This window comes from Homo sapiens, chromosome 11 (genome assembly GCF_000001405.40).
Source record: "Homo sapiens chromosome 11, GRCh38.p14 Primary Assembly".
Classification (NCBI taxonomy): domain Eukaryota; kingdom Metazoa; phylum Chordata; class Mammalia; order Primates; family Hominidae; genus Homo; species Homo sapiens.
In genome coordinates, this window is record NC_000011.10 from 9835544 (window position 1) to 9850883 (window position 15340).

Below are 15340 nucleotides of genomic sequence, written 5' to 3' on the forward strand. Positions count from 1 at the left end.
ATCGCCTGAGCCAGGGAGGTTGAGGCTGCAGTGAGTTGGAATCACATCACTGCACTCCAGCCTGGGAGACAGAGCAAGACCTTGTCTCAAAAAAAAAAAAAAAAGATTACTACTATCCTGACTAACAATGTGGATGAATTTTGCTTCTTTTTGAATTCTAGATAAAGGGAATCAACAGAGTTTATTCTTTCATGTTTGGCTTCTTTTGCTCAATATTATGTTTATGAGATCCATCCGTGTTATTTGTACTCACGTGTAGTTTGTTCATTTTCATTACTGTATTTCACTGTGTGAGTATGATACCATTTATCTATTCTCTTGTTGATTTTGAGTAGTTTCTAGTTTTTTTAATTATTAAGAATGTTGCCATGAACATTCTTGTAGATGTCTTTTGGGAGCACATATGTATTTCTGTTAGAAATTCTACTCCACCTAAGAGGAGAATTTCTAGGAATTAGGTTATGAATATGTTCAGTAGATGTTTAAATGTTTAGACAGCATTAGACAACTTTCCAAAGTTATTTAACCAATTTATAGTCCTTTTTACTCTCTTGATGATATCTCCTGATATACAGAAGTTCTAAATTTATCAATTTTTTACTTTATAGATAATGTTTTTCCTATCCCAAGAAATCTTTCCCTATACCTCAAGGTCATGGAGACATTCTCTTATCTTCTAGAAGCTTTATTGTTTTAAGCTTATTTGCTTTAACCTTAATAACAAACCTATTGTTTTATTGTTTTAACCTTTTACATATAGATCTATAGGTCAATGGGAATAGGTCAAGATTAATTTTTCCCAGCATCCTTTATTGAAAAAACATCTTCTATCCACTGCTCTTAAGTGTTATTTTTATCTTAAATCAAGTATCCACATATGTTGGGGTGTTTCTGTTTAATATATTCCCTATTTTGCTCCACTGGTCCGTTTGTCCATTCTTGTGTCAGTCCTATACTGTCTTAATTACTGTAGCTTTATAAAAACTCTTGACATCCTATAGTATTATTCTGTAAGACTATCTTGGCTACTCTGCCTTCCACATTTTTATGTAACTCTTAGAATTACCTTTTCAGTTTCCATTAACATTTTGCTGAGATTGGGACTGATTCTATAGAACAATTTCAGGAAATTCAGTTTTAGAATACTGAATATTCTAATCTAAGAACCTGAAATATCTACTTATTTAGCTCTTCAATGATCTTCAATATTGTTTTAAGTATTCCATGTAGAGGTCTTGCACTGGTTATTAGATTCATCCCTAAGTAATGTTTTTTAGTGCTACTGTAAATAGTAGGAATAATACCAAAATAGCATCACTTTTTGAAAATTTCATTTTGTAATAATGTTTTTAGTATATATATAATTATTGTAAATGACCTTGTACTAGTGACCTTATCAGTGACCTTGTACTAAATCCACTTAATAATTTTAAAAGTTTATTGGCAGATTCCTACAGATTTTCTACATGTGCATTTTGGTCATCTGTGAGTAATGGCAGTTTTATTTCTTTCTTTTCAATTTTTATACCTTTTATTACTTTTCTAGTCTCTTTGCACTGCCTAAGACCTCTAGTACAACACTGAATAGAAATGGTGATAATGGGCATCCTTGTCAGGATTTCAGAGAAAAAGCTTTTAATATTTTATTTATTTCTAAGATAAGTAATTTCCTGTGTAGGATTTTTAAGACAGAAGATTAAGGAGCTACCCACTGTTCCACTGTAGACTTCTCTGAGGCCTTCAGGGCGCTACTCATGGGAGCTCATTCTTACTCTCTTTTGCTGAGAGCTTTTTTCTAAAGATCACAAATGTGACAAAAAATACAGAATTTACATAAATAAATTTACATAAATAAAACTCATAAGTGTACTTTGCATTTGCAAAATGCTTATCTTTATATAATAAACTTCTTTTTAATTCTGTTAATGTGGTAAATTACACTGACTGATTTTCAGATGTGAAACCAGTACTCTATTCCTACAATAAACTCCACTTGATCTTAATGAATTGCTGTGTGTAAAATAAACCTTTTGTCATTATCAACCATCCTTTCTTACTGCTTTTAAAGTCTACTTTGATATTCATATAGTGACAACAACTTTTTTTAAAGGTAGTTTTGCGTGGTATATTTTTTCTATCCTTTTACTTTCTACCTTTTTATATACTTGTATATTAGATTTGTCCCTTAAAAGCAGCAGAAAGCTTTTTTTTTGGAGACGGAGTGTTGCTCTGTCACCAGGCTGGAGTGCAGTAGCTTGACCTCGGCTCACTGTAACCTCCACCACCAGGGTTCAAGTGATTCTCCTGCCTCAGCCTCCCAAGTAGCTGGGACTACAGGCACAAGCCACCATGCCCAGCTAATTTTTGTATTTTTAGTAGACACAGGGTTTCACCATGTTGGCCAGGATGGTCTCCATCTCTTGACCTCGTGATCTGCCTGCCTCGGCCTCCCAAAGTGCTGGGATTACAGGCGTGAGCCACTGAGCCCAGCCACTTTTTTTTTTTTTTTTTTTTTAAAGCAAACCCTGATCTCTTTCTTTGAATTGGAACATTTAGTCAATTAATAATTAATGCAATTATGGATATATTTGAATTTAAATCTACCATCTTACTACTTGTTATTTATTCCATTTGTTCTATGTCCCCTTTTTTTTCCTTTCTTGCCTTCTTTTGGATTATTTTTTATTATTCCATTTCCTTCCTGCTAATAACTTAATGGATATATATTACTTTTTACCATCATAAATGCTTTATAACCAGTGTTCTAATAAGTCATCTATTAAAATTTTATTTTACTTCTGACAGATTGGAATGATAAATGAGTCTGTTTTCTCAATGGCTGGCATAATTTTGATAGCAAACTTTCCAAACAGCAGGACATCACACCCCGACAACATGACTCATCTTCAGAGAAAATTTAGTTAGAATGACGGAGAATTCCAGAAAAATTACTGCATACTCAGAGTGCCAATTTTTCAGAACTTCATGCAAAATGTTTATTTGGCCACAATCTCAAAACTATATTCCCAACTTGTTTCTGAAGTTTCATATTAATATTTGTAAACTTAAATTGCCATTTAAAATGACATATCTATCTTCAAGAGCAACAGGGTTGAAAGTAACATTAAGATAACTTTCTAAAATATGTACAAAGCTTACAATTTACAAAGTGATTTCAGAGCTGTTTAAGCAGGAATTTATAAATGCAAAGAAAAATCTTACCTGGAGATGAAAATGACTAAACTTGTGGATGGTGAAAATGTAATTTTAGAAAATATATATTTACATATAGTAAAGCATGGAATAAGACTCAACATATTTGAAAAACAGTGAGAGATGACAAGAACTGAAAAAAGAAAATGCCTCTTTATTTACATCCTTTAAGTAATATTCCCTTGAAAACATTCCAATTAGACCGCATAAGAAAGCCTTGCCTACACCTGGGTCAGCAAATTATAGCCTGTGGGCCAAAACTGGCCATGCCTACTCATTTCCTTACTGTCTGTGGCTGCTTTTGCGGCACAGTTGAATAGCTGCAACAAGAGACTCTATGGCTCATAAACTGAAAATATTTACCAACTGACCCTTTATAGAAAGAGTTTGTGGCTCCCCAGCCTACAAAAGACTTTCATGTCCTCTATTGGGCTGGGAAAATCCTGTTCTTCAAGTTATCTTTAGTCATGCTAGAAAAGAAGCAAACTGGGAAGAGAAAGACAAGAGAAATTCATAGGGGGTGAGTACTTTACCTTTCACCTTCTCACCTACTAGAGGTACTTTCAGTAAGGTAATTGTTCCGAGAATGCCAATGAGATGCTTGCTCGTATCCTGGAGACCTTGTTCTTATTTTCAGGCATTTTTATCTATCTCAGGGCTATGGATGCAAATGGCCTATTAAAGATTCAAATAAGAAGAAAGGAAGGAAGACCTCTTTTTGGAGCCCACTGACACACTTACCTCCGGCAGAGTGAATACATCCTGTTGGAGGCAGTAATTCTAAAATACTCGGGTCTTGAACGGGAAGAGCTGCCACTTATGGTTCCTAAACCTAAACGCTGATAGTCTCTGAAACAAGCTTTTTCCACCAACTGTTCCATTGTAGACTTCTCGGAGGCCTTCAGGGTGGTACTTGTGGGGAGCTCACTCTCATCTGAAACTGTGATGGTAGAGACAGATATCGAAGAAATGATTAGCTCAAAGCAATTGAGGTCTTCAGGGTAGTACCTGTGGGGAGCTCACTCTCATCTGAAACTGTGATGGTAGAGACAGATATCAAAGAAATGATTAGCTCAAAGCAATTGAGGCCTTCAGGGTAGTACCTGTGGGGAGCTCACTCTCATCTGAAACTGGGATGGTAGAGACAGATATTGAAGAAATGATTAGCTCAAAGCACAGGATTAAAAACTTCCTTTTGGGCTGGGTGTGGTGGCTCACGCCTGTAATCCCAGCACTGGGAGGCTGAGGTGGGCGGATCACAAGGTCAGGAGTTCGAGAGCAGCCTGACCAACATGGTGAAATCTCATCTCTACTAAAAATACAAAAAATTAGCCAGGTGTGGCGGCAGGCACCTGTAATCCCAGCTACTCGGGAGGCTGAGGCAGGAGAATCACTTGAACCCGGGAGGTGGAGGTTGCAGTGAGCTGAGACCGTGCCACTGCACTCCAGCCTGGGCAACCGAGCGAGACTTTGTCTCAAACCCCGCCCCCAGCCGCAAAAAAAAAAAAAAACAAACCCGCTACTTTTGAAGAAGACTCTTACACCAAGACAGGTTTATATTAGGATGACAAGTATTATGTATATCACAAATTAAATCATGTAACTTCTGTGAGGAATCACACTTAAATAAACATAAATTAAAAGTGTAATGAATAGTCAAGAAATAAAATATCAGTAATTCAACTAAAAAATGTCAGGAAAATAATACCATTTAAATAATTTCTAAAAACAATATAATTTTGAATTCATTACCTACACTGTTCTGTTTCATGAAGGCTTGCTTATTGTCAAATTGCAGTGATTTCTATTTAGGACTCTATAAAAACACCCAAAGTTTGTCAGAGGCTAACCCATCAGTAAAATTTATCTTTCATAAAATCACTATACAAACTCATCATCCAGATTTCAGTTTACTTTTCAGACTATAAACTTTTATTAGAAATTTCTGGATTAACCAGAAGTTCACTAGAGGGAAAAATAACTTTATTTCCTCAGAGAGGTATAAAGGAGTTACACTTTTTTCCTGGAAATATTTTTGTTAGAGGATGTGGTGTACGTGGGAAATCCCCTCACAGTTTTACAATCACAGGTTACAGAATCCTTTACAATTTTAGATGTGGAAGAATTTACTCAATAATCAAATATTTTAGGGAGGCTTTTTTTTTTTTAAAGAACATTCCTAATTGGTACTGCATGTTCTAACTGGGGAAAAAAAAAATCCATGTTAAAAACTGTCCTAATTTACTTCCCTATTTATTTTGAAAGTAAGAGACATCAAATCAAGCTTTCAAAGTTTTTGAAAATGTACTCAAAGTACTAATGTGCAGGCAAAGATATGGCCCTCTTTCATTAAAATATATTTTAAAAAAGCAGAACATCAACAATTAAGTGTTTCAATTTGTGAACTTCAATTCATGTTTCCATTTGTGAACTTCACAATGCAATATCATCAGGTATCAATTCTGTGTTGGCCTTTAATTTTCAGAGGAGCAAAGAACATTATATAATTTGGTCTTTTAGTAGAATAATTATCATAGAATAATAGGTTTTGTTCCATGAAATATAAAAAAAATTGAGTTAGAAGAGTCAATAGTGATGGGTAGCGATAATATTTTTATGGTTTGACACATGACTGTGAAAAGATCAGGGTTCCAACAAATGGGTGTGGTGTTATTTCAGTGATATAATGGTGGGTATTTTCATTGCCCCAAAGGCAAGCTTGTATGTACATGTTCTCACCCAGGGCATGCATACATACATACAAAACCACATAGGTTCTTTTTTTTTTTTTTGAGGCAGAGTCTTGCTCTGTCCGACCCAGGCTGGAGTGCAGTGGTGCAATCTCGGCTCACTGCAACCTTCTCCTCCCAAGTTCAAGCAATTCTCATGCCTCAGCCTCCTGAGCAGTAGGGACTACAGGCGCATGCCACCATGCCTGGCTAAAATTTTGTATTTTCAGTAGCAACAGGGTTTCGCCATGTTGGCCAGGCTGGTCTCGAACTCCTGGCCTCAAGTGATCTGCCTGCCTCAGCCTCCCAAAGTGCTGGGATTACAGGCATGAGCCACTGCGCCTGGCCCACATAGGTTCTTTATCCCAGCAACTGAAAATGGAGACCGGTTAGCCAGTGCTTTCTCTGAAGATGAGGTTTCTTTTTTAAAATGTTGTTGTTGTTAGTAGTAGTTTTTGCAAAACCACCGGTGACTGATTCTAAGATCCTGAGGGGAAAAAAAGGGTGTAATGGCATTCTGCCTCCCATTATATCAGCTTCTCTGTAGTGCTGATTCCATAGCATATTTGATACTGGGTTAAGAATGGGAAACAGTCACTCAGAGATTTTGCTACTAGCTTTCTGCCTCTATTTTTCCCACTGAGAGATATTGTAGCTGTTCTTTCAAATATTTAGCAAGTATTTTTTCTTATGACCTAAGTATTCCTTCATCTTAGGTCCCCCATTTTGATTAAGAGCACCAACAATGTTCTTACCAAAAACTGAAATCTTCAACTTGAAATGTTCAATGTCCTTACCTTAAATTCTTATTCTAGAAGGATAAGATACAGGGGACTACTCTATACCTAAATTTCCCATGCAGTGGGGTTCCCTTCTTTCTTCTTTTAATGAGACACACATAAAAATGACCAATTAGCTGTATGAATTTAGTAAAGAAGTATAATTTAACAAAATATTACCTGAACAATGGGATATTGGGAAAATATTTTTCCCCCAGTTCTAAGAAGCTGGTAAGTGCTTCCATCTTCTCATGAGATCTAGGTTTTTGTGAATCAAGATGTAAGTGCAACTACATCTGAGTCTCTTATTCATATAAGAAATAAAGTTGAATAATGAAGGAAATTCAAGTTTTCACATACCAGATACATCATCATCTTCATTCCATCCAGGACGATTTACTCTTTCTTCCACAATTGTCCCTGTCTTCTTCTTCAGTAAATATTGCCGCCCAATTGTCATTTTCCCTGCCCTTTTGGCACCTTTCACAATTGTTTTTGAGAAGGTACTACAAGTCATAAAACCAAAGAGAATGTCAACTTAATATAAAAGCACTACTTGTATTGTTGACACCTACTTAGCTCAAATTGTTTCTTCTCCTTTCCCACAGCCACTACTGGTCCAGACTCTTGTTAAGCCTCTCCTTCTTTAGGTTACTTTTAATATGGCAGTAGACTAATTTCCCATAAAACACCACTGTCATCAGGATACTGTCTTAGGAAAAACGTGCAGGAAAATGTAAAGTGAGACACAAACTACTTATCACCCCAAATCTAAACTCCTTGGTTTAGCTTGTCGGGGAGGACTGCCCTGAACCCACTCTGGTTATCCTCATGCCACTGTCCCTACCACAGTTCCCACAAAGCATGCTTGTTGGAGTCCTCCTACATGGAAAGCCAGCCTGCCCACTTCTCTACTTACTCAAACTCTCTTTCTACCAACTCACAAGCCTTTCTTTGAGATCATATGGCCTTCATAGTTGGCAACACATTTGCTTATTTCTTAACTGTTTTAAGTGTGTATATGTGATGTCCTGACTCTAATTAGCTGTAAACTTTAAGAAGCATAGAAAAATAATATAATTCCCCTTTTTTGAAGGAGAAAAATAAGAAATCAGAAACTTGAGTATCCTTTTGAGAATCAGCTTTAATTAAAGGGAAACTAAGATGTAATGGACCTAGAAGTACTTTATTTATTCAAACAATTTAACCCTTCTTGCTGACAGAAAATCTAGGCAATCCAGAGAATTAAACAGAGAACCTATTTCCTGACTAATCAGATGGAGGTGAAGACTCTGAAGACTGTTCTTGATTATATTCTTCTCTATCACAAAGAACTCTTCTGGTGTTTTCTTGCCATTCAGTAAAAAGTGATAAGGCTTCTTTTATTATCAAATAGTTTCACCAGACTCCATCTTTAGTTATTTGCAATGTAAACCTGAAGGTTATGAAACATGTTTGAGATAACAGCTGGGAATCATAAAATACTGATATTTCCTAAATTAAACTTATTGTAAATCACTTGTGTAACTTTTATTTTTTAATTTTTATTAGTGGGCTTTCTGGCAAAAACTGGAAAGTCTGCTAGACAAATTCTAAAAGAGCTGTAACACTAGGTGTAACTTAAACTCAATGGGATTTTTGAAATTTTTTCCCAGCTAAAGCTATATATATCTTTTGTTTCATATACCCAGGCAACTCTTAAAATTTTTAAATTGCTACATCTCTGTTGCAGCTGATATAACAGGCTTGATACAGGTATATATTTCTGAAACTAATATAAATATACATGTTTCTGATAGTTTCTAAATGTAAAATACCACACAAAGCTTTGTCTCTTCCATTGAAGGCTGAGATAACAAACATCATAGGCTCCTCTCCGACCCTATGGTGCTAAGACAAGATGCTTGGTCCACTGCTGTAAATCCCTAGGAACTTGCTCATGCTTCAGCATACCATACCTGGATATTACCTGGTAAGCAAAGCTAGACAGGTGGCTAGCTGTGCAACTGAGAAATAATATACTGTCTGGAACCTCAAATTTTCTATAATCCCCAATCTACCCTTCTTTCAGGCAAAGGAAGGGCCTCTTTTCCAAAGTCTGCAAAGCTCTCCCTAGTATTGTAATTTGTATTGGCAGATGCCCGAATTCTACATGGTTAACAGTGAATGAAATTTTAGCCCTTATATTTTATCACCGATGGAAGATAACTTAAAACTATTGTTATTTCGTCATAACTGAAGTTTAAAACTTTCAACATAAATTTCTAAAAACTTTCTAGAAAATAAGGGTTCATACTAAAGAAATATGACAACTAAATGCAATGCCTGATCCTGGATTAGATCCTGGACCAGGAATAAAAAAGTTAGGTACTAAACTAAAAAAGGATCATTAACACAATGTGAATATAGACTCTGGGTTAGATAAAAGTTTTATATTAATTAAATTTTCTGGCTTTGATTACTGTGCTTATATAAGATAATGCCGGACAAGGGGAGGGATAGCATTAGGACAAATACCTAATGCATGCAGGGTTTAAAACCTAGATGATGGATTGATGGCTGCAGCACACCACCATGGCACATGTATACCTATGTAACAAACCTGCACGTTCTGCACATGTATTCCAGAACTTAAAGTATAATAAATAAATTTAAAAAACAAAATAAAATAAAAAACATAAAAAGATAATGTCTTTGTTCTTAGGAAACATATTGTGATGTACTTAAGGATAAAGGGACATCTTATATCTAACTCAAATGGCTCAAAAAAAATATGTGTATATATGAGAGAGAGAATGATAAACAAATGGACCAAAGTAGAAACTACTGGTGAATCTGGGTAAAATATATACAGAAATTCTTTGTTCTACTGTTATGAATTTTCAGTAAGTTTGAAATGTTCAAGAGTTATGAAAAACAGAAAATATAGCCTCCTGTTTCTAGATAAAAGCAAATCTGTCCACTGGGCCTGGATATTAATAAAAGCTGAAGGGATTGGTCAAAAGCATTTAGAAAGTGATCAATATGGAAAAAAGAGAAAATAGAATTTCACATTCTAAAAATGCATTGTGAGCAATGGACATGACAGTCAAAGCCTCTGGTAGCTTTTAGTTTTTGAAACTTGCTACATTTATCAATGCTGCTGTTCCGTAACTTTATGATCTTGGCCCCATGGGCTTGACAGAAACAGAACAGTGAATGAAAACAGCAATCGCTTACACCTGGACACAAAGGATAGGTTACTCCTTTTGCAATCAATTACGGGAGGGCTGAAATTAACAGACTTGTCTTTCTTCTTACCGAAAAGAAGTGTTCTTTTCCTTCTGTTTTGGTAAAATTATTTGTGGGGTAGTTTGTCCAGCAGCAAAAGCAAAGGTACTGAAAATGGACTGAGGATAACGGAACTTCATCAGCTGTTTCTTAAAGATCTCTACTACTTCTGGACTGACTTCTTCATCAAATGCTACCTTAATCAACTAGAAGCAAAAGAGATTAAACACAAAAGAAGCATTAAGGATTTCCTGGCAACTTTCCCCCAAACAACAGAATATAATAACACAAAATGGCAAGACTGGAGGTCAAAGGGACTTTGGATAACATGCAATACAATTTTTAAATTTTTAAAAATAAAAAAAGGCTCAAAAAGGTTTACTTGCCATAAATGGCTAGTTGGCAAGGAAAATCATGTATCTTCAAGTCAGTTTCTTTAAGATTATTTCTTCTACAATGGGATAGGGAATTGTATAGCAAACACGCCCTTCTCATTTCTCAACTGGTTGGTTCCAGATAGAGAATTTGGCCTAATAAGGTCTCTTCCTACCCAGATACAACAAATGTAGGAAGAAAAGAAATCCATTTGACTAGAATCCTAATCAGTACAGCTAGGCAATATTTGAGTGTGGAGTTCTTTGGTAGTCGGGACAGTGAGGAAATCCTTAGGCAGCCAATGCTTTCAGGTGATGAGAGAAGGTCTGGAGCCTAAAGATCAGCAGCCTTACATTTCACACAATTAGCATAGAAGCCAATAGGAGAGATCCTTGACTAGAAGGAAAGAGGCAAGAACTGGCATTCTTAGAAATCTGAGAAGTGATGAAGAATAAGACAAGCAAAATATTGCAAACTGAGAATTTAAGAACAGGAAAAACTAAGAAAAGGTCACTTCTTCCAGGGTCTGGTTTGCATTATTCAATAATTATTGAGTTATTGCAGTAATTCTACAAAGTTCTGATACAGTCATAAACCCCTGGAAAACCTCTTGCTTTATCAGGGGTATGCAACTAGTACCAATAGAACTTTAGCCCTAGCTATACTGTTTACCTTTCCATAGAACAGCCACAGGGCATTTCCTTCAAAACAGATGACAAGATAATTGCTTTTTATCTAAAGGCTTCATCAAACAGGTATTGAGGTATAACTTGGCAGAGAATAAGAACCAATCGTACTTGTCTAAGTTTCTAAGATCACTCATTATTGAGTATCTGCTGGTACTCTGAGTTGGCTAAGGGGCTCCAGGGATTAAATCCAAGACTATTCATGAGTTTACTCAGCTGATGACTACCCTCTCAGACCCTATGATCTTCCCCATTCTCATCCTCTTAACTTCTGAGCACATGACCACACAAAATGGCCATAATATCATTTGACTTTTGAAAATTTTTGAATAGTAAAACAATGGCTTCCTTTTTTAATACCTGAAAAGATGCTGATGTGATCTGCAGTCCTTCTTGCATGTTCTGCTGTAGCTGGTTCTGCATTGTAATCTTCTTCTCCTTGGTGATGGAGGCAATGGGAAAGCTCCGCACAACTGTCTGCTCACCCACTGTAAATAGACAGGACACAGCTTCAGCAACAACACTTTATAGCTCACTTTTAGAGTGTCTACTGCTTACTTCATCAGTCTCTGCTAGAGAAATGTATTTGAAGAGGACACTGCCCAGGGATGCAGTGAAAGAAAGTGCCCTTCACTCCAGAAAAGGATTATGTCTCAGGAGTGGCAAGTGACTTACATTTCACACAACTAGCACAGGAAGCAGTAGAAGGGATCCTTGACTAGAAGGAATGAGGCAAGAACTGGAATTCTTGGAAATCTGAGAAGTTAGAGACAAGTGACTTGCCACTCCTGAGACAGAGTCCTTTCCTCGAGTGAAGAAACTGTCACAGCCTGACTGCCTTCATTCTTTCTATCTCCCCAACCTACTGTGTGCCACATAAGATCACCTGGTTTAAGGCAATTTTATAGGAAGGGAGGTTTTACAAAAAAAAAAAAAATACTCCTCAAGTATTGAAAAGACATCCAAGATATTTAATATAAGGATAAAGCAAAAGAGAATAGGTTTTTAAAGTTTGTTTCGAAATATGTAAAAGATGTTATACTATATATATGTGCCTTTGGAAAACAAGCCTGGACTTAAGCGCAAGACTTTTAGGAGTTTATTAAAGCAAACATGGGAAAATATAAATAATTATTTATCAAGTACCTGAGGTTATGAAGATGAGAGTCTAGAAAAAAAGTAGCACACTCAAGACCTCCCTTGAAGAGCTTCCAATTTCCCGTGGGAGGAGAGTCACATGCAGAATATAATAATATGTGGTTAGCTCCTACGTTTGAGGGAACAGTCTACAGGGATTTAAATATTTCAGAGAAGGATCTCTGCATGCTAGCTGGATAGAAAATGATTTTTGGGAGAATTGAGAGAGAAGATGGAGCTTTAAAGGAAGTGTAGAATCTGGATTTGCAGAAGGGAAAGGAAGAGCATTTTAGGCAGTGGTAGAGGAACATAACAGGAGTGGCAATGAACAAGGCCTCCCAGCTAGTAAGCCAGGGTGGGGAGGGGGTGGGGAGATCTGAACTAGGTTCATCTTATTTAACAGCTCATACATTTCTTCATTTATTATAATCAGAATCCTAATTCCCTGGATCTATCAATCTGTAATCTAGAAAAATTCTGACTATATTCTTACATCAAGCTCATATCCAGAGGCTAAGCAAAGTCAGGATGTACATAGGATTTAAGTTCTAGGATGTATTTAACACCTACATTTATATAACATGTAAAATTATAATATTTCTATGTGTCATCAAAGGATAAATTTTAAATTAGAAATTTAAAAGGAAATAAAAAGATTTTCTTTGACAAAAATAATTTTCCTAAGTGAAATTAATTCAAAATTTGAAAGGAAAAGGCAGAGAATATGAGATTTCACACTAAGCATACTTTAAAATAAATAAATTACAGCAATTTAAATGACCACATAAGCAAGGAAAAGGCAGAGAATATGAGATTTCACACTACGCATAACTTCAAAATAAATAAATTACAGCAATTTAAATGACCACATAAGTATCACGTTTACGTGTCCAAAATGTGTGTTTATGGCCATTAACCTCACAAAAGTCCTACTATAAAAAATTGTAAGTACTGCATAGTTTCTTTTAAAAATACGTTTACTTTCAAATACAATTTGTGTATAGCAATATGAAGGAGCGGGCTAAGACACTTTTCTCCTTTTCACTTTTTCAAAATAAGCAAAACTATTCTTACAAATTCATCTTTCCTTATTTAATTTTATGAACTGTTGCGCATTATATGGTAAGCAGTCTTTTATGACTGATGTACTAAGCCATCTTGATTCTATTCAACCTAGGAATAATGCAACTGTTAAGATTTAAAAGAGAATACATTTTATATATCTGAATTCACTTGTCCAACCAATGAGTAGCACATAGTGCATACTCATCAAATGCTACTGCATACATAATTTCAAAGGAGAAAGGCACTTTCGTGACCATTTAGCCCAGTGGTTCTCAATCACAATCACTTGTGGGGCTAAAGAAATACACAGATGCCTGGGTCTCCCTATTTCTACTGCTTCAGATTCTAATACAATTGTTTGAGGGTTGGGCCCAGAAACTGGTATTTTTTTTTAAAGATTCCCAGATAATTCAAATATACAGCCAACATTAAGAACCACTGAATTATCACCAATGAAAGCCCAATCTCCCAATTTTATAAAAGAGGAAAATAAAGTCCAGAAAGGTTAAGTGATTTAAGTCACTGAGCTTTGACTTGGAGTCCTGTTGTTTTGCCCAAAGTCTTAATTATGTGCTTTTCCTATCAACAAGAGCATTTTACATATAGACTATAGTGAATTTAAGAAGATAATGTAGATTACTTCTGGTAGGGCATGCTATTCCTTTCCAATATAGAAGGCTGTACTGAATAGTAGAAAATAGAAACAGAAGTTATAGGAGTTTGGCAAGTAGAAGAGAAGTTGTCTGCTAAAAGGGAAGTGGAGTTAATTGGAATGGAATAAGAGGGAAGTGGGATTAGTTGGTGCTGGACAACCTTGTGATAGTTAGCATATCCTTCCACAAAAAGGTTCAAGTATCTGCAAGACCTTAGTTTTACAGTTAACTGTAGGACTCAGAAAGCGTGGACAAACCAGCAAGGGATATATTCAGCAGTTAGAGTGAATATCTCTAGGGTATAACACTCTGCCTCATGAAATGAAATTATGATCATTTCAGCAAATGAACCCTTGATTTATTGTTTAGAAGATAACACTTTGTTCTTCAAGTAAAAAACTATGACCCAAATTATCATTAGCTCTGTCAGACTAAAGTATTTCACCAAAATACCTGTGTGGCAAAAAGCTGACTTTGGATTTAAAATGATCTGCAAATCACTGTGCACAGATGGGATCGAGACCTCATGTACCACACAGATACCCATGTTCTGATGGCATATCGAGTCATACCTAACTGATCATGGGGTGTTCCTCTGAAGAGAATTCTGTATGTGGTGAGGAACAAGGCTCCTTCTGCTGGCAGGAGCTGAGGGCCTCCAAGAAGACCTCCAGTAGCTTCTTCTCTTCCATCAGGATCCAGCAAGACTCGAAGACCCTCACAGACAATTTCTTCTCCTGGCAGCAGAGCAGGTCTAAGAATCTTGGGCTTACAACAGAAAAAGATTGATTGATTGATTGATTGACTAATTGATTGATTTTTGGAGACAGGGTCTTGCTCTGTTGCCCAGCCTAGAATACAGTAGTGCAATCATAGTTCACTGCAGCATCAAACTCCTGGGCTCAAAAGATCCTCTGACCTCAGCCTCCTGAGTAGCTGAGACTACAGGCATGCACCACTATGCCTGGCTTATTTTTAAATTTTTTTTGTACAGATGGGATCTTGCTACATTGCCCAGGCTGGTCTCAAACTCCTGGCCTCAAGCAATCCACCTGCCCCAGCCTCCCAAAGTGCTAGGATTACAGGCATGAGCCACCATAGAAAAGTATTTTAAACACAACTTTTGTGGAGTTTCTAATACTTAGTCCATGGTTATCTTTTCAGTTACAGACCTAAAAAACTTAAGCCAGACTTCCCAGATAGTCACATGAGAAACCTGATTTGGTAAGAGGCAGAAATGAAGTTTATATACCCAAATGTGAGAGGATTCTTTGCAGAATTGTGTAAAAGTAAAGTCATTGAGAAATAACTCAAATATCTGAAATATTCATTCAATGAAACATTTTGTAACCTTTAAAAAATGACATAGATCTATATGTGTTAACATGGAAAAATATCCAGAAGGCTGGGTGCAGTGGCTCACGCCTGTAATC

General features: G+C 36.3%; 1 protein-coding gene, 1 long non-coding RNA gene and 1 pseudogene across 12 annotated transcripts in view; 1 reads left to right on the forward strand and 2 right to left on the reverse strand.

Moving 5' to 3' along the window:
- The window catches only part of SBF2 (SET binding factor 2), a 526174-nt gene that overhangs the window by 56876 nt on the left and 453958 nt on the right, over nucleotides 1-15340 (reverse strand). For 8 of the 11 annotated variants that reach the window (NM_001425069.1, NM_001425070.1, NM_001424318.1 and 5 more), the window contains 5 exons: nucleotides 14480-14675; nucleotides 11413-11540; nucleotides 10022-10197; nucleotides 7082-7227; nucleotides 3955-4153 (listed from right to left, as the gene is read on the reverse strand). In NM_001425069.1, coding sequence (NP_001411998.1) covers nucleotides 3955-4153; nucleotides 7082-7227; nucleotides 10022-10197; nucleotides 11413-11540; nucleotides 14480-14675 — 845 coding nt within the window. Of the gene's footprint in view, nucleotides 1-1512; nucleotides 3872-3954; nucleotides 4154-4215; nucleotides 4344-7081; nucleotides 7228-10021; nucleotides 10198-11412; nucleotides 11541-14479; nucleotides 14676-15340 lie in introns of those variants that run through there. The other 3 variants (XM_047427658.1, XM_011520396.4, XM_017018377.3) reach the window with 2 other exon arrangements.
- The window catches only part of LOC101928008 (uncharacterized), a 90122-nt gene continuing 78380 nt past the window's right edge, over nucleotides 3599-15340 (forward strand). The window contains exon 1 of the long non-coding RNA NR_120539.1: nucleotides 3599-3733. This is a non-coding gene — a long non-coding RNA (uncharacterized LOC101928008). The remainder of the gene's footprint in view (nucleotides 3734-15340) is intronic.
- RNU7-28P (RNA, U7 small nuclear 28 pseudogene) lies at nucleotides 8274-8332 on the reverse strand (annotated as a pseudogene).